Source organism: Homo sapiens, chromosome 1 (assembly GCF_000001405.40).
Source record: "Homo sapiens chromosome 1, GRCh38.p14 Primary Assembly".
Classification (NCBI taxonomy): domain Eukaryota; kingdom Metazoa; phylum Chordata; class Mammalia; order Primates; family Hominidae; genus Homo; species Homo sapiens.
Window position 1 is genome coordinate 35,989,568 of NC_000001.11, and position 19,714 is coordinate 36,009,281.

At 37.7% G+C, this 19,714-nt stretch overlaps 1 protein-coding gene across 9 annotated transcripts in view, besides 1 other annotated feature; it reads left to right on the top strand.

Moving 5' to 3' along the window:
• The window catches only part of AGO3 (argonaute RISC catalytic component 3), a 141,783-nt gene that overhangs the window by 58,850 nt on the left and 63,219 nt on the right, over window positions 1–19,714 (top strand). For 8 of the 9 annotated variants that reach the window (XM_017000523.3, XM_005270575.5, NM_024852.4 and 5 more), the window contains 3 exons: window positions 14,774–14,908; window positions 19,123–19,210; window positions 19,330–19,477. In XM_017000523.3, coding sequence (XP_016856012.1) covers window positions 14,774–14,908; window positions 19,123–19,210; window positions 19,330–19,477 — 371 coding nt within the window. The other variant, XM_005270576.5, reaches the window with a different exon arrangement.
• Window positions 18,910–19,411: an enhancer, noted in NCBI's record as "NANOG hESC enhancer chr1:36474078-36474579 (GRCh37/hg19 assembly coordinates)". NCBI's record gives its function as "activates a minimal SCP1, AML or CMV promoter by ChIP-STARR-seq in naive H9 embryonic stem cells {active_cell/tissue: H9 hESC(naive)}" and the evidence as "EXISTENCE:reporter gene assay evidence [ECO:0000049][PMID:30033119]".

The following is a 19,714-nucleotide window of genomic DNA, read 5'->3' on the forward strand; positions in this document are numbered from 1 at the left end:
CACAGATTTTAAGACCATCATAGTGGCTGGGCATGGTAGCTTACACCTGTAATCCCAGCATTTTTGGGAGGTTGAGGTGGGTGTATTGCTTGAGTCCAGGAGTTTGAGACCAGCCTGGGCAAGATGGTGAAACCCTGTCTCTACAAAAAATATAAAAATTAGCCAGGCGTGATAGCATGAGCTTGCAATCCCGGCCACTCAGGAGGTTGAGGTGGGAGAATCACTTGAGCCGGGAGGTGGAGGTTCCAGTGAGCCATGATCTCACCACTATACTCCAGCCTGGGTGACAGAACAAGACCCTGTCTCAAAAAAAAAATAAAAAGACCATCATAGTGAATCTGATGTTTGTTAGTTATATCTCCCTTAAGATGTTATTTACCTCTTATTATGTACCAGATAGAATGCTAAGCATTTTATATTAATTATTAATACTACAGTGTTGCATGTAAATTCCACCACAGTTGTATAAGTTGGTAGTATCATCAACTGAAGTTTAGAGACAGAAAGTCACATAGTTTATATTTAAAGCGGGAGAAGTTCAACTCTTCTGACTCCAGTGCTTATACCTTTAACATAGCTCTGTACTGCATCCCTTAAGAAGCAAGATCCCTGGCAGGCAAATCTCAGATCTTAGACACATTAGTTAAATTTATTTTTGTGGCCAGGCACGGTGGCTCACGCCTGTAATCCCAGCACTTTGGGAGGCCGAGGGGGGTGGATCACGAGGTCAGGAGATCAAGACCATCCTGGCTAACACAGTGAAACCCCGTCTCTACTAAAAATACAAAAAATTAGCTGGGCGTGGTGGCAGGCACCTGTAGTCCCAGCTACTCGGGAGGCTGAGGCAGGAGAATGGCGTGAACCCGGGAGGCGGAGCTTGCAGTGAGCCAAGATTGCACCACTGCATTCCAGTCTGGGCGACAGAGACTCCATCTCAAAAACAAAAAATTTTATTTTTGTTTACTGTTACTTTTCAGTAAAATGTAGCTGTCCGTAAAACATTCACTATCCCATTTTGCTTTTAGTAAAAAGTAGGCAGAATATGTAAATGGTTGTAGAATTTAATAATTTTATTTCTGCAAAGTAGTTAGAAGTTCACACTGCTGCTTTTGCAAGGAAAACATTTCTAGTAAATAAAAATTTCTAGTAAATAAAAAATTCTAGTAAATAATTTATTAATCACAGTATTAGTGTTGCTTACTTCATGTATTTGTCTTGAGTTCAGGTATAAGATTGCTAAGATTGAGAAATAATTTGATTTTATAATATTCAAATTAGTCCTTTCAGAGGTAGATCAAAGCAGAACTTTTCTTTCGGGTGGAATGAGAGTTATCAGCTGATTCAGGCATCTGGGCAAGAACTTTTAGCAACATGAGTTCAAACAAGACCAACTAAAGATATCTGGATCAGGCTTACCCAGGCGGGCTATCTTCACATTAGAAAAACAGTATAAGGCTGGGCACGGTGGCTCACGCCTGTAATTCTACCACTTATGGGAGGCCGAGGTGGGCGGATTGCCTGAGCTCAGGAGTTCAAGACCAGCCTGGCCAACACAGTGAAACCCTGTCTCTACTAAAATACAAAAAATTAGCCGGGCATGGTGGTGTGCATCTGTAGTCCCAGCTACTCGGGAGGCTGAGACAGGAGAACCCAGGAGGCAGAGGTTGCAGTGAGCCAAGATCGCGCCACTGCACCCAGCTTGGGCGACAGAGTGAGACTCCATCTCCAAAAACAAAAACAGTAATGGCTGCAGGAATCTCAGTGACAGTCTTCATGAGATCTGTCTCTTGATTCTCACTGTTTCAGTCTGGTTGAGTTATGCCCTTTGTGTTTGGTGCGCAGCTGTCTTCTTGAGATCACACTTCACTGTTGCCCTGGGAATTCCTTTTGTCTTTGTTCTATAATCTTATTTCTTTTTAAAAAATTTTCAGAATCTTCATGAGAATAGGGTACCTGGGGAGCAAATTTTATATATATATATATATAAAATATATAATATATGTATATATTAGAAAATGTATTTATCAACAAACTTAAAATGATAGTTTAGCTCTTTCTGTGGTGGAAATAATTTTTCTTCAGAAATTCGAAAGCATCACTCCATTTTTAAAATAGCTGTATTGACGTTTAATTTACATACCATAAAATTCACACGTTTTATTTCCTAAGTGTTATCTTTCATAGCATGCTATTCTTGTTTCACAGATGCAGTATCCTCTCTTAGCTCTCTGAGCATAATTTATTTTGGAGTTCTTCCTGTACATGCTTATGCTTCCCTCAAATTCCTTTTTGTTTGTTTTGATCTCTGTCTTCCATTTTGGAGGCGTTCATCCAATATCTAGTATTCTTGATTACTGTCTATTCAGTGTTAATCTAAAAACACTGAATGCTCTGAAGGCATGGATAGGGTTTGTTGACTCTGAGCCTCATCATAGGGTGATTTCAGAGGGCTTAGGTTGGGGAATCTACAATGTTAGGATCCTTAGGTCTCTTCTCTTGGCTGGTCAGGTTGTCCAAAGGTGAGTCTTCTAAACTCCTGCCTAAAGGATAGCAGTGTGGTTGCCTGCATTCTGGAAGCCTAGTTGGGAGTTCTAGCTGGGGGAACTTCTGTATTCAGCATTTAATATGTTAAAGTCATTTAATCTCTTGTTTTTGGTACAGTCTTGTGCTCTCAACTGTGTCTGGCATCCTTCTTCCAGGGAGCCTCTGTTGTATCTCTTCCAGTTAGTATGCCTGCAGATCTGTGCAAGGATGAACAAGAGGCAGCTGTTCATCAATGTGAGCTAGACAGAGGATATAGGACTCTACCTGCTTCTCAGACTGCTTTTCTCTTTATTTTTCTGCATCACTCCCATCCTTTTATCACCAACTTGCTCACTTGCTTTTCATCTTTCAGAATGTTGATATATCCCCTGTTCTGTTCTCCTTCTAGGTTTGTACCTTAAATTTTTTTTTAAATTCATAGTTACAGTGGAGTTTGAGAAAGGAATGAAATGAAGAATGATAATAGATGCTCATTGTTAATCTGCCATCTTAACCCAGAATCTGTTATTAAAGGGCAGGGGCTTTGTCTGGTTTATCTCTAAATTTCAACCCATAAAGGAATCTGTGACATAGCATATACTTAATAAATGTTTGGATGGTTAAGTCTTATTTTATGTCTGTGTTAGTTATCTACCACTGCATATCAAATTATTCCAAAACGTAGTGACTCAAAACAATAAACTATCTCACACATTTTCTATGAGTTAGGAGTGACTTCGATGGTTCTAGTTCATGAGGCTGCATTCATCTCAAGTCCTTACAGGGCCTGGGGGGATTCACTTCCAGTAGGACTCACTTAATTGGTAACAACTTAGTTCTGGAGGCCTCAGTTCCTTGCCATGTGGACCTCTCTATAAGGCTGGGTAAGTATCCTCACAACATTGTGGCTGGCTTCCTCCAGAGCAGGAATTCATGAGAGAGCAAGGCAGAGGATATAATAACATTAAGACCTAGCATTGAAAGTTACATTCTTTTATTTTTATAATACCCTATTGGTTACTCAGATTACTTAATGTTCAGTATGGGAAGGGACTGTACAAAGCTGTGAATCCCATATGTCAAGACTCATTGGGGACCATCTCAAAGGCTGGCTACCACAGTTTCTGACTTAAGCTAGAAATAGAAGAGCATATTAAATCCAAAGTAAGCAGAAAGTAAGAAATAATAAAGATTAGAGCAAAATTTAATTAAAAAACTGTACAGAATATCAATGAAGCCAACTGTTGGTTATTTAAAAAAAATAAGTAGGATTAATAAACTCCTAGCAAGACTAATCAGGAAATTAGGAAAAAGCAGATTACCAGTATCAGGAATGAAGTGAGGGTATCACTAAAAATTCTTCAGAATTGAAAGATTAATAAGGGAATGGTATGAACAACTTTATGCCAATTAATTTGATAGGTGAAACAAATTCCTTGACAAGCCACACCTTTACCAAAATTGACTCGAAAAAGAAGCCTGAATAGCCCTATATCAAAGAAATTGAATTCACAATTCCTCCTCACAAAACTCCAGTCCCAAATGATTTCACTAGTGAGTTTTTTCTATAATGTAAGGAAAAATAACATCAATCTTTCACAAATTCTTTCAGAAAATAGAAAAGGCTTCCCCAACCACCACCCCCTGCTTTTTTTTTTTTTTTTTTTTTTTTTTGGAGACAGAGTCTTGCTCTGTCGCCCAGGCTGGAGTGCAATGGTGAGATCTCTGCTCACTGCAACCTCCACCTCTCAGGTTCAAGCCATTGTCCTGCCTCAGCCTCCCAAGTAGCTGGGTCTACAGGCATGCACCACCATGCCCGGCTAATTTTTGTTTTTAGTAGAGACAGGGTTTCACCATGTTGGCCAGGCGTGTCTCAAACTCCTGACCTTATGATCTGCCCACCTCAACCTCCCAAAGTGCTGGGATTACATGCGTGAGCCACTGCGCCCAGATTTTTTTTTTTTTTTTTTTTTTTTTTGAGTCAGGTTCTTACTCTGTCACCCAGGCTGGAATGCAGTAGTGTGATCATGGCTCACTGCAGCCTCAACCTCCCGAGCTATGCTGCTCAGGCTGGTCTTGAACTCCTGGGCTCAAGCAATTCTCCCATCTGGGCCTCCCAAAACACTGGGATTATAGCCATAAGCCACCATGCCCGGCCCCAGTTCATTTTTTGAGGCTGGTAAACCTGGTACTAACCCCTGACAAAGACAATATAATCCTCTCAACAGGAAAATTGACACATTTTAAACATTCTCATGATAAAAATTTACAACAAACTAGCAATAAAAGGAAATTTCTTCAGCTAATTAAAAACACTTAGAAAAGCATACAGGCATCATCATACTTCTGTGGTGAAAAGATTGTACACTTTTGCCCTAAATTCAAGAACAAGGCAAGGATGCTTGCTCTCATTATTTGGTAATCATACTGGAGGTCCCAGGCAGTGGCAAAGCAAGAAAAGGAAATAAAAGGCATAATTTGTAAAGGAAGAAATAAAACTCTGTTTGTAGAAGACATAATACTCTACATTAAAGAATCTACCAAAACAAACCCCATTAAAATTATTAGAATTAGTACATGAATTTAGTGAGGTCACAGGATGCTAACTGCATAAACAAATAATACCAGCATTCAACAATTGAAATGAAAAAAAATTTAAGTGCCATTCATAACATAAAACATAATTTTTAGGAATAAATATAAAGATGTGCATGGCCCCCACGCTGAAAGCTACAAAGCATTACTAAGAAAGACAAGGAAGGTAAAGAGGTGTTCTTGGACCAGAAGTCTCAAATTGTTAAGAATTTCATTCTCCCCAAATTGATCTATAAACTCAATACAATAGAAATCCCATCAGGCTTACTTTGGGAGGCCAAGGTGGGTGGATTGCCTGAGCTCAGGAGTTTGCGACCAGCCTGGGCAACACGGTGAAACCCTATCTCTACTAAAATACAAAAAAAATTAGCCGGGCATGGTGGCGTGTGCCTGTGGTCCCGGCTACTCGGGAGGCTGAGGCAGGAGAAGTGCTTGAACCCGGGAAGCAGAGGTTGCAGTGAGCCGAGGTATCACCACTGCACTCCAGCCTGGGCAACAGAGCAAGACACTGTCTAAAAAAAAAAATATATATATATATATATATATATATATTATATAAAATTGTCAAGCTGATTCTAAGATTTATATGCTGGTACAAAGAACTTAACATTTCTATTTTGAAGAGCCAAAAAATCTTTTAAAGAAGAACGAAGTTGGTGGATTTATACTACCTGTGTTCAAGACGTGCTATAAAACTACTGAAATCAAAACAGTGATACTGGGGTAAAGATTGTCAGGTTACAGAATAGCTACCAGAATAGACCCACTAATGTAGCTGGTTGATTTTTGGCAAAGGGCCCAACATAATAGAATGCCAAAAAGGTTAGTCTTCTCAGTAAATGATGTAACAACTGGGTATTTGTATTAAAAAAATTATCCTCTACTTAACAGCACACAGAAAATTTAATTCAGAGTTTATCCCAGGATAAAACATTAAAACTGGTAAATTTCCAAGACAAAATGGGGAAAATATTCATGATCTTGGACGAGGCAAAGATTTTTTTCTTCTTTCGAGACAGGATCTCCCTATCACCCGGACTGGAGTGCAGTGGCTTGAACTTGGCTCACTGCAACCTCTGCCTCCCGAGTCCAAGTGATTCCCCCACCTCAGCCTCCTGAGTAGCTGGGACCACAGGTGCATGCCACCACGCCTGGGTAATTTTTGTAGTTTTAGTAGAGACGAGGTTTTACCATGTTGGCCAGGCTGGTCTCGAACTCCCTGACCTCAAGTGATGCACCCACCTAGGCCTCCCAAAGTGCTGGGATTACAGGCATAAGCCACTGCACCCGGCTAGGATTTGTTAATAAATTGAAAACCATTGCAATTAAAAGCTTCTCCTTTTGAGAACACCATTAAGAAAATGACAAGGCAGCCAGGCGCACTGGCTCACACCTATAATCCCAACACTTTGGGAGGCCTAGGCAAGAGAATCGCTTGAGGCCAGGTGTTTGAGACCAGCCTGGGCAACATAGTAAAAAAATTTTTTTAATTAGCTGAGCGTGGTGGTGCATGCCTCTATTCCCAGCTTCTTAGGAGGATGAGGTGAGAAGATTACTTGAGCCCAGGAGTTAGAGGTTGCAGTAATTATTATCACCACTGTACTTCTGCCAGGGCAACAGAGCAAGACTCTGACTCTTAAAAAAAAAAAAAAATGAAAACACAAGCTACCGCTGAGAAAACACATTTGCAAAACGTAACAGAACAACGCTTAGGTCCAGAATATATGAAAATTGTACATAACTCAGTAAGAAATAGAAAAAAAGTAGTAGTAAAAATCACATACTTCACAAAAGAATATGTGTGGTCGGGCACAGTGGCTCACACCTGTAATCCCAGCACTTTGGGAGGCCGAGGCGGGCAGATCACCTGATGTCAGGAGTTCGAGACCAGCCCAACCAACATGGCGAAACCCCATCTCTACTAAAAGTACAAAAATTAGGCAGGTGTGGTGGTGGTCACCTATAGTCCCAGCTACTCAGGAAGCTGAGGCAGGAGAATTGCTTGAACCCAGGCAGCAGAGGTTGCAGTGAGCCAAGATTGCACCGTTGCACTCCAGCCTGGGCGACGAGCAAAACTCCATCTCAAAAAAAAAAAAAAAATTATATGTGAATGGCCAGTGAGCCCTTGAGAAGATGCAGAACATCGTTGGCCGTTCAGGAAATTCAAAAAGAACCACAGTGAGATACCACCCATACGTACTAGATTGACTAAATTTAAAAGACTGAAAATAACAAATGTTGACAAAGATTTGGAGCAACTAGAAATTTAGGAGTGTAAAATGGTACAAGTACTTTGAAAAATAGTTTGGCGGCCAGACGCAGTGGCTCTCGCCTGTGATCTCAGCACTTTGGGGTGCCTAGACAGGCAGATCGCTTGAGGTCAGGAGTTCAAGACTAGCTTGGCCAACATGGTGAAAACCTATCTCTACTAAAAATAGAAAAAATTAGACGGGTGTGGTGACATGTGCCTGTAATCCCAGCTACTTGGGAGGCTGAGGTGGGAGAATCGCTGGAACCTGGGAGGTGGAGGTTGGAGTGAACTGAGATCATGCCACTGCACTCCAGCCTGGGTGACAAAGTGAGACTCCATCTCAGCAAAAAAAGAAAGAAAGAAAGAAAAATAGTTTGGCAGTTTATTTTAAAGTTAAACCCAGTCCTCAACTTAGAATGGTTTGACTTCCGATTTTTCAACTTTATGATGGTGCAAAAGTAGTATGTCTTCAGTAGAAATTGTATTTATAGTACAATATTCTCTCAAAATGTTGTGCAGCAGCAGCAAACCACAGCTCCTAGTCAGCCATGTGATCACAAGGGTACAGTGTACTGTGTTGCCAGATGATTTTGTCCAACCGTAGGCTCATATAAGTGTTCTGAGCACATTTAAGGTAGGCCAAGCTACCTATTGTGTTGAGTAGTTTAGATGTATTAAAAGCATTTTCGCCTTAACGATATTTTCAAATTATGATGTGTTTATTAGGATGTAATCCCGTTTTAAGTCAAGGAGCATCTGTATTCTCTGGGGTTTATTTGAGACGTAGTCTCCATCTGTTGCCCAGGCTGGAGTGCAGTGGCGTGATCTCGGCTCAATGCAACCTCCTCCTCCTGTGTTCAAGTAATTCTCCTGCCTCAGCCTCCCGAGTATCCAGGATTATACGCGCCTGCCACCACGCCCAGCTAATTTTTGTGTTTTTAGTAGAGACAGGGTTTCACCATGTTGGCCAGGCTGGTCTCGAACTCCTGACCTCAGGTGATCCACCCGCCTTGGCCTCCCAAAGTAAGAAACAGAAATTTGTTTGTCAATTATAAATAAATCTAATAAAAGATATATGAGTTTTAGAGTATATTATAAAACCTTAGTGGAATTTAAATGACCTTAATACATTCAGAGATATACTATGTTTATGAATTGAAATACTATCCCACTGATATTTTGAACATTAGTCTATTTTGGTAAATTTCTTTTCCCTAGTTATAGTTATCTAGATACATTTTCCCCTAAACTCCCCTCCTTTCTGTTTTATTTATCTGAATTCTAGTGGCTGCTCATTAATTTTAATTATATGAGTATAGTACAATTTATCAATCCAGTTTATAATACAAAATATCCAAATATGTTGACACATATTTAGGTTGTTTCCATTCTTTTTACTCTTACAAATAATGCTACAATAAGGATATGAGCATTCTTATTCATGTCTCCTTTTGGAGACAGGGAATTTCTCTAGAGTATATATTCCACTATAACAGAAGTGCTGGGTTGAAAATTATATACAGCTTCCAATTTATTATATATTCCACTTCCTTTCCTAAGTGACTTTATCAGTTTATATTCCTACAGTCTGAGAGCTTTCATTCTTCCATTGGCTTATTTTCAGCTTGTTACCCTTAAAGTTTTTTCTAATCTTGATTGGTATAAAATGATAGGTTGATATTGTTTTAGTATATATTTCTCTTTGTCTTCTATGAAACGTTTGCTCATGTCCTTTGCCACTTTTTATTGTTTTATTTTGATTTGTAGGAACTCTATACATATTCTAGATACTAAGCATTTGTTAAACATATTGTGTATATCCTCTATCAATCTTTAGCTTTATTTCTTTATTTATGGTGTCTTTTTTCTTATAGTTTTCATGGTTTATAGTTTTTGTATTGTGCTGAAGAAATTCTTCCTTACCTTTAAGACCATAAAGATATTCTACATTTTTCAATAAATGTTAGTTTTCCTTTTCATATTTAGTTCTCTGAATAGGAATTTGTTTATGTATATAGTATGAGGTAGGCTTTCAAGCCTGTTCTGTGTGTCTAGCCCCACAGTCTCTTTATTTGAATAGGATTATAACAAATCTTGATGAATGCTAGAGCAGACCTTATTCTTAAGAATTGTTGGCTGGGCACGGTGGCTCATGCCTGTAATCCCAGCACTTTGGGAGGCCAAAGCAGGTGGATCACCTGAGGTCAGGAGTTTGAGACCAGCCTGGCCAACATGGTGAACTCCGTCTCTACTAAAAATACAAAAAAATTAGCTGAGCGTGTAATCCCAGCTACTCGGGAGGCTGAGGCAGGAGAATAGTTTGAACCCAGGAGACAGAGGTTGCAGTTAGCCGAGATTACGCCACTGCACTCCAGCAGCCTGGCCAACAGAGCAAGACTCCATCTAAAAAAAAATAAAGACTTGTTGTGGCTATTCTTGTTTCATTGTGCTTTCATGTTAATTATAGTATCTTAAGTTCCAGGGGGAGAGAGGATTACATCCTGTTGATATTTTGACTGAAATTGCGATTGAAGATTAATCTGGGGATAATTTACATGAATAGGGTGTATTATAACTCTGTTTATTTGATCTTCTATAGTATCTTTCAATAAAAGAGATACTTATTACTTCCATAGGTCTTATACACCTTTTGTTTAGATTTCATCTCAAATGCCTTATGTTTTTTGTTGTGATCATAAGTGGTATATGTTTAAATTACATTTTAAGTAGGTTGCTAGTGTATAAGAATATAATTTATTTTTATATGTAGACCTTAAATCTAGTAACATTGCTGAATTATTAATTCTGTAATTTGTCCATAGATTTTTATTGGGTTTTCTATGCACACAATTAATGTTGTGAAGAGTAATAATTTTGTTTCTCTCTTTCCAACCTTTTAACTTTTTATTCTCCTAATTTGCTTTGCTATGCTAGCTAGAACTTCCTATAAAATTAAGTTGAATTTACCATGGAGTTTTTTTTTTCTTTTTTATGTATCTGCCAGGTTGTAATACCATAGAGTTTTGGTAAATAACTTTTACCAGATTAGGGAAGTTCCCTTCTCGTCCTGGTACAATAAGAGTATTTGCTTCAGTGCTGAATTTTATCAAATGCTTGCTTTTTGGGGACTGCCATCTATGGAAATGATTATATGCTTATTTCCTGTAACATGTTAATGTAGTATATTTTATTGATAGATTTTTAAAATGTTAAATGTAAACATTTTTCAGTAATAGCTAATTTGTGAAAGGGAAGGAAGGAATAAACTACATATATATGTAGGTTTATTAAATATTAAGAATTCATCCAAGGGACAGAAAAGCAAACATTTGATCATTGAAACATATTCCTAATTCAAAACTATATTTGCTGATTTCAACCCATTCTTTCTGAGTTTTTTATTACTAAATTTAATTTTTACCTCAAATGCCCACCTTCCTGTAGAGAAGATGGTCAATAGTAAAATGATTCAGAGTGTAGTGGAATAAACAGGGAAAAATAGTAGAAGAGGATTAAACAAGAGAAATAACTCTAGCATGTTTGTTTAGTAGTTACAAGTAATTACAACTTTGTGGTATCTGAAATATTAGTTGTGAAGGCTGGTGTTATAGCAATCCAGTGAATAAATTTTACCTGTAGGATTAAAAGAAAGGCAAAATAAGCATATTATTCACTTTCTATTTATCTTTCATTTACTTTTTAAAAATTAACCCAGATCAATATGTGCTTAAGAACTTAAACATTATAAACATATAACTTAAATTTGATATGTATCCTGTCAGCCTTCCTTTTTGTGCACAATAATATTCCAACATTTTTCAGTAGAAGAATATAATATATATATATATTTAAAACTATTATGGATTTGAGTAAGATACCCAGAATACTGTTACAATCTTAACAGTCTCTCTTTTTTTTTTAATTAGTTAGAAACTGGAAATATTTCTAAAGTTTATTTGGATGGAAGTTTAGAAGTGAATATTGATTTCTCTTATCTTTTCCACAGAAATACTCATGGGCCAGGCGTGGTGGCTCACGCCTGTAATCCCAGCACTTTGGGAGGCCGAGGCGGGTGGATCAGTTGAGGCCAGGAGTTTGAGACCAGCCTGGCCAACACGGTGAAACCCCGTCTCCACTAAAAATAAAAAAATTAGCCGGGTGTGGTGGCACGTGCCTGTAATTCCAGCTCTTGGAAGGCTGAGGCACGAGAATTGTCTGAACCTGGGAGGCAGAGGTTGCAGTGAGCCGAGATCACACCACCACACTCCAGCCTGGGTGACAGAGGGAGACTCTGTCTCAAAAATAAATGAATAAATAAATAAAAATAAAAAATAAGTACTCATGGATGTATACCAAAAAAATAAATACATACACATACGTACACAAACACACACACGTGCACAGGAACATTCATTGGAATATTGTTTGTAATAGTAAAAAACAACCCATAACTCTCCCTCAGAGGACATGAAGTACATTCATACAGTGGGATATCTTGCAGCTATGAGAAGGAATGATATAGTTTCATATTAGTACATACAAGGCACAGTATAGTGTTTCTAATGTTTTACCATTTGAGTTCTTTTTTATTAAGAGGGGAAGGGAGTACCTATTTACTTAATTATCATGCACCCACACTGTAACATAGTGTGCAGCAATTAAAGGGTGTACTGACATGAAAAGATCTCTAAGATGTATTGTTAATTTTTAAAATCATGATAAAATGAGTCATAGAACAGTTATCTGATTTCATCTAAAAAGTTATTCCTACATTTTTATCTTTGTAAATTAGTATTTTTGTTTTTTTAATCACCTTTCTGACAAATCTAAGTGCATATTAAAAGGAGAGGATGTATACATACCTAAGTACTAACAATGGTTACTTATTAGAGCTATTTGGAGCGAGGAGGTTCAGACTGGAGAGGGTCTTTACTTTGTATATCTCTGTATTGTTTGAGTTTTTATGATGAAACTTTATTCATGTATTATTTGTGTAATAAAGAAGTAAAAAACAATATGCACTCAGTACCAAAAAATGAAGTTATAAAGATAAAAATGTTTTCTCGTAGTAAAAAATATGTTAAAAAAAATTTTTTTTTGAGACGAAATGTCTTGCTCTGTCACCCAGGCTGGAGTGTAGTGGCGCAATCTCAGCTCACTGCAACCTTCGCCTCATGGGTTCAGGCGATTCTCTGGCCTTAGCCTTCTGAGTAGCTGGGATTACAGGCATGCGCCACCACACACAGCTAATTTTTGTATTTTTTAGTAGAGATGGGGTTTCACCATGTTGGCCAGGCTGATCTTGAACTAATTTCAAGTGATCAATGCACCTTGGGCTCCCAAACTGCTGGGATTACACTTGTGAGCCACTGTACCCAGCCAAGATAATTTTTTTTTTTTTTTTTTTTTTTGAGACAGAATCTCACTCTGTCACCCAGGGTGGAGTGCAGTGGCGTGATCTCGGCTCACTGCAACCTCGGCCTCCCAGGTTCAAGCGATTCTCATGCCTCAGCCTCCTGAGTAGCTGGGATTACAGGCACATGCCACCACGCCTGGCTAATTTTTTTGTATTTTCAGTAGAGATGGGGTTTCACCATGTTGCCCAGGCTGGTTTTGAACTCCTGAGCTCAGGCAGTCCACCCGCCTCGGCCTCCCAAAGTGCTGGGATTACAGGTGTGAGCCACCGTGCCCGGCCAAAAATATTTTGAAGAAAATAAAATACCCACAGTAGCCTCACCACCCACATTTATCCAGAGATAACTACTGTTAAAGCTTTGAAAATATCCTCCCAGAGGTAAGGAACATTTTATGGAGGACATTTAATGCTAAACCAAGGAAAGCAAGAGAAAGATCCCCACATAAAAAGTTTACGCTCCTGACCTCGTGATCCTCCCGCCTCGGCCTCCCAAAGTGCTGGGATTACAGGCATGAGCCATCCAGCCTGGCCAACGTGGTAAAACCTTGTCTCTACTAAAAATACAAAAATTAGCCGGGTGTGGTGGTGGGCACCTGTAGTCCCAGCTACTCAGGAGGCTGAGGCAGGAGAATTGCTTGAACCTGGGAGGGGGAGGTTGCAGTGAGCCGAGATCGCGCCATTGCACTCCAGCCTGGACGACAGAGTGAGACTCCGTCTAAAAAATAAATAAATAGATAAATAGATAAATAAATAAATAAAGTTTACACTTAGCTGAACAGACAGTGGGCATTTTTTTTTTTTTGGAGTAGAAAAATGACATGATAACATGCAACTTACTGTCTTATGGTTTTACTTTTTGTTGTATCCCCAGTGCCTATATAACACATAATAGCCATTAATAAGTATGTGTCTGAGAAATGAGTGATGGTGATCTGCTAACCATTGGTGAAACTCTTCTAGTTCCAAAACCCATGGTTAAGAAATCATAGTGGTTGACTGTTAAAAAACCACCCACTGCTCAATAATATTGGACAGATAACCCTAAATATTACTATCTGTAGACTGAGCACAGTGGCTCATGCCTGTAATCCCAGCACTTTGGGAGGCTGAGGCAGGCGGATCACCTGAGGTCAGGAGTTCAAGACCAGCCTGACCAACACGGAGAAACCCCGTCTCTACTAGAAGTGCTATATTGGTCGGACGTGGTGGTGCATGCCTGTAGTCCCAGCTACTTGAGAGGCTGAGGCAGGAGAATCGCTTGAACCCGGGAGGCGGAGATTACAGTGAGCCAAGATTGTGCCATTGCACTCTAGACTGGGAAACAAGAGTGAAAGTCTGTCTCAAAAAAAAAAAAAAAATATATATATATATATATATATATATATATGTATATTTGTAGCTTAGATTTAGCACCAATGACTAATACCACTGTTTTTTCAAATCATTACAAGACAGGGAAAACTCTCTTTAGAATAGATAGTCTAGGGTGGCATAGAAAGCCTTGTTTAAGAAATAATACTGGCCAGGCATGGTGGCTAACACCTATAATCCTACCACTTTGGGAGGCTGAGGCGGGAGGATTGCTTGAGCTCAGGAGTTGGAAACCAGCCTGAGCAATATAGTGAGACCTTGTTTCTATTAAAAAAAGAAAAAAAGAAATAATACCTAACCATCTCATCTGCCACGGGGCTCCAGCCTTCTTTGTCTCTTTCAAGCCTTGTCTCACCCAGAACACTTCTCTATAGAGAATGGAATGAATCAGTTACTTACGATGAAAGAGATAGATTATAAAAACTGTAGTATTTGGCCATTTTGTATTTGTGCCTCAGAGGTCAAATTAAAACTGCTTAATTTTGGAAATTTGTATGTACATAAATGTGCATAAAGGATCATTTTAACCCTATAGATAGTTATCCTGGAGCCTAAGATGAAGTTTCTGAATTTTTTAGGGAAACATTAATTTGTATTGTTTGTGTTTTTCTTCTTAGTTTCTGCCACTGCCTTCTACAAAGCACAACCTGTAATTCAGTTCATGTGTGAAGTTCTTGATATTCATAATATTGATGAGCAACCAAGACCTCTGACTGATTCTCATCGGGTAAAATTCACCAAAGAGATAAAAGGTGAATTAATTAGCATTTAGCACAACTTAACTATAAAATGCATGGATATAACAACCTTTTATTAAAATGTTTTCTTATATAATTAAAATCTATGTAACATAACCAGTAAAACTATACATCAATTATAAAATAAAATATTACATTAAATTCATTACTATAACATCTTAGGTGGTATTTGAAAGAAATGCCAAGTAATGGAGTTAGTATCACTACCAGCTAATTTTTTGTTAATACTTTCCCTTACTAGCTGAAGGGATAAGAATGTCTCATGGGAAAATGCTTTAGTAATACTGTTAAAAGTAGGAAGCTCACTCCAAAAATATTTGTTATATTTTATAACTAGAATTATAGAACTAGAACATATTCTAATATAATGACTTCCTTATTTTTCTGAAATGATAGTTATTTATTTTAGTCCTTTAAAAACGTATAAATGTGGGGCTAGCCTGTTTCATGTGTTGTTCTAGAATTATAGTTATTTAATATAAGTTATAGAGTTGACTGTTGATCTTATCTATTATACTTAGTAACTAAAATTTGTACAGTGCTGTTGCATCATATGTACATTTAACTCAGATAAATTCATCTCTATGTGGCTGCCCAAAAATAAAAATAAAAATAATTTTAATAGTGTTCTGAAATCTGTATTTTATATGTATTTAGTCTGATACTCCCTAATCAGAATGAATAGGATAAGTTCTATTTATATTGTTAGATCTTAAATAGCCAGAAATAATTATGTTGTTTTTAAGATTTTACCTATTTATTGCAGATAATTTTCAGCTTGTGGTTTGAATGAAGCATTTAAGTTTGTTCACTGAACATCTTTCAGTTCCCCCAAATCAATTAGAGTAGTTTAATACATTCTGCTTGCTCCAGTAATAATTCATTCTTCGCCATTCAGTAACCAAGAGAGAGATAGTCATTGTAATAAAATATTAAAAGGAAGATCCACCCTGCTTTGAAAATAAGCATCCATTTATCTCAAGTTATTTAAATGCCAAAGTAAGAAACTGTTTATGTAACTGTTTTGCAACCATACCATTGTCCTTTCATGATCTGTATTAACTGCACAGCTAGCATTGTCAGGAGGTTAGTGCATTACCTACCATTAATATGTGATCATCTAAATGCCATGGTTTCCAGTGGAGTTGCTGCTTAGTTACCACCTCTGATATCATGAAGTCACTTACATTATTTTGCGGTAACTATGCAATCAACTCATATCACCACTCTATCACAGAAAATACAAGATGTACAGAACAAGGATTCAACTGCTGCCCGAAGAGCATGGACTCGATCTTAACTTCAACTGCTCAGGGGCCCAAAGAAATGACTGAAAAAATGACTAGAAAGCATAATAAAGTTGATGTTATAGTGAAGGTAAAGCCAAGTTTATAGGTTAAATATTTATTAAAGCCAAAAGTGTTTTTTTGGTTGGATGGAGGGTTTGGGGAGGGACCTGGGCAGAGAATTATCTAGTCCACTTTTTAAAAATTTCAACTTTTTGCTAGCACCTAGATTTTGGTCTAATTCTTAGGTATTTATGATCCTAGTTTGGGGGTGGAAAAATCTGGGTGGGATCCAATTGACAAACTGATTATTTTTTTCTTCATTCCAAGTAAAATAGGGCTTTTTTTTTTTTTAAAGAAGGCTCTTTAAAGTACATCATGTATTCCTACTACAGTAACCCAAGAGAATAAGAGTTTTGTGTTCTCTCCTGTATCTATGGGTTTTTTAGCTGGTATGAAGAATTTGATGCTAGCTGTTAAATAATGACACAAAGTGTGCAATAAAGAATAGATTTTCTTAGTATATTCATCTTTTTCCAGTTGAACTTGTACCTAAATATTTAATAATAACTTTGGAGTGGTTTCTTTATCCAGTAACTCGTGATAGTTAAACAGCAGAAATACTGGGAAAATGTATAAGTACCATATATATATATCTATATATGTGCCAACTTATTTTTAGTAAAAGCTTTATAGGCTTGGAGAACCTTATTAATATTTTTTTAATTCAAGGGGAAGAGTTGAAAATAAATTGCTAAGTGGTGCAAATAACAGAAATTTGTTTTAGACTTTTCTATTGTGTTCTCCCCTGAACATAATATTTTTACGTCTTGTTTCTTCATATTATTAGTATTTCCTTCTTTTAAGATCCTCCTTCGATAGTATTTTATTTTCTAGTCTCCTTTATAATATAAAGACATAGTAATTCTCTAGTTGATCTGACATTTTTGTCTTATAAAGGTAGTTGTAATGAAAAATTACTACTCACTGATTCAAGGAGGAGCACTTCCAAAGAAAAACAAACCCATACCAATCTGGTACAGGGATGGATACCGTGTCCATTTAACATCTTAATTTGTTCTGATCTATCAGAAGAAAATATCATTTATATGATTGAGCTTTGTGTTTGGTACTAATTTTCTTACCTAATTGCAGGTAGCAGTTAGGTAAGAAAATAAATTTTACCATAGCAGGCATTCTCAACCTTAGCAGCATTGACATTTTGGGCTGGATAATTCTTTGTTGGGATAGGGGTAGGGCTGTTCTCTGCATTACAGGATATTTCATACTATCCCTGGCCTCTACTCAATAGAAAGCAGTAGCATCTCTAGTCATGCCTATCAGTTTGTCTCCAGACATTGCCAAATGTCCCCTGGGGGACAGATTGCCCTCTGGCTAAGAACCACTGCAGTATAGGAATCACAAATATGAAAGAGAAATATGACAAAGAGTAATAACCATAAGTATTATCAGGGAACTAAAAGTTGTTCTCCATCTACCCCATTTTGGACTTTATCCCTTGGAGTCTAGGCCAAACTTTAGAAAGGAGTTGCTTATCTGTGACCTCTGTGTACCTGTTAACTCTTCTCTAGGCTAAGACTGCACTAACCACATGTAGCTACTTAAATTTAAATTAATTAAAATAAAGGCCGGGCGTGGTGGCTCACGCCTGTAATCTCAACACTTTGGGAGGCCAAGGTGGGTGGTTCACCTGAGGTCTGGAGTTCAAGACCAGCCTGGCCAACATGGCGAAACCCCATCTCTACTAAAAATATAAAAATTAACTGGGCATAGTGGCGGGTACTGTAATCCCAGCTACTTGGGAGGCTGAGGCAGGAGAATCACATTAACCCTGGAGACAGAGGTTGCAGTGAGCCAAGATTGCATCATTGCACTCTGACCTGGGCAACAAGAGCAAAAAACTAAAAAAAAAAAACCTAAATAAAATTAAATTTTCAGTTTCTTAGGTACACCAGCTACATTTCTTATGCTTAGTAACATGTTATTAGTGATTACCATATTAGCATAAATGTAGAACATTCCATCACCTCAAGAAAATTCTCTTTGACAGCACTGCTTCAGAAAATTCATCTCGAAGAACTTCAGCCAACAGCTTAAAGCCCATTTCTTCACATTCTAGAGCAGGCCTGGGATCCTTGAACCCCTAGAGTCCACAGATGGACGGCAGGGATCCAAGAACTCCTAAAATCATGTGCTAAATTATGTATATGTGCATTTTGCTGAGAGTTTATTGCTTACATCAGATTCTCAAAGGGATCTTGACTCCATAAGAGGGTAGGGATCACCTACTTTAGGAATTATTTTGGTTACATTTGATTTTTAATAGTATTGGAAAAGAGCTGTGTCACTATATTATACCTCTATAAAAGTGTCACTTTGCTTCTGTTAAAAATGCCTGGAATTTTTTTCTCCTGCTTTATAAATCTTTAAAGGACTTCTTTCTTGAGCTTTACAAAATTCTGATCTTCAAGCAGTATGTGATGACTGGGCTAGGTAAATATCACATAATTTGAAATTATGGAATACCTTGAGAATTATTGGATCTCCTCTTTCATTCCTCCTTCCCTCTCCCAGCATAAATACCTGAATTTATTATAAACAGGATTTTTTATTAATGGAAGATTTTGGCCCTTGATCTATGGGCTTTGCAAATTTTATGATTTTATTTTTTAATGTGTAGAGCTTGATGGGGTAAGGAAAAATTTTGCCATTAGGTCTGTCATGACTGTGACCATTATTAGCAATGTTATATGTAAAATCTGGTGTTTATATCATCTTGCCTGTATCACAGAATTTTTTGTCTGTTCAGAATTGAGTTTTTATGGTAATGAACAGGCTTTATAAGTATAAATATTTTACATGTGACAGTTCTGTAACCTCCATTTTTCTTGTTGGGAACAGGTTTGAAGGTTGAAGTGACTCATTGTGGAACAATGAGACGGAAATACCGTGTTTGTAATGTAACAAGGAGGCCTGCCAGTCATCAAACGTAAGAAAAGTTTGTCAGAGCAGCGATGGTGTGAGGCAGCTTGCTCTAGTTAGTGGGGTTGGGAGTTTTTCTGGCTCATAATGGGCAAGAATTGTTCATGTGTACTTTTTTTTCCTCAGCTTTCCTTTACAGTTAGAAAACGGCCAAACTGTGGAGAGAACAGTAGCGCAGTATTTCAGAGAAAAGTATACTCTTCAGCTGAAGTACCCGCACCTTCCCTGTCTGCAAGTCGGGCAGGAACAGAAACACACCTACCTGCCACTAGAAGTAATGCCTTCACACTGCTAATTAATACCCTGTTGTTCATGATTCTTTTGGGGTCTTTTATGGCCGATAACTTACCTCATACAGAACATTTATTTTGGAATATGAACTGTTTTTAAGTTTTAATTTATTCTAAATTTTCTGTAATGAAATAACACGAAACAAGTTCATCCATAATCCTACCACTCTAATGTAACCACTGTTAACATTTTGGTATACTATACTTCTTTCAGTCTTCAT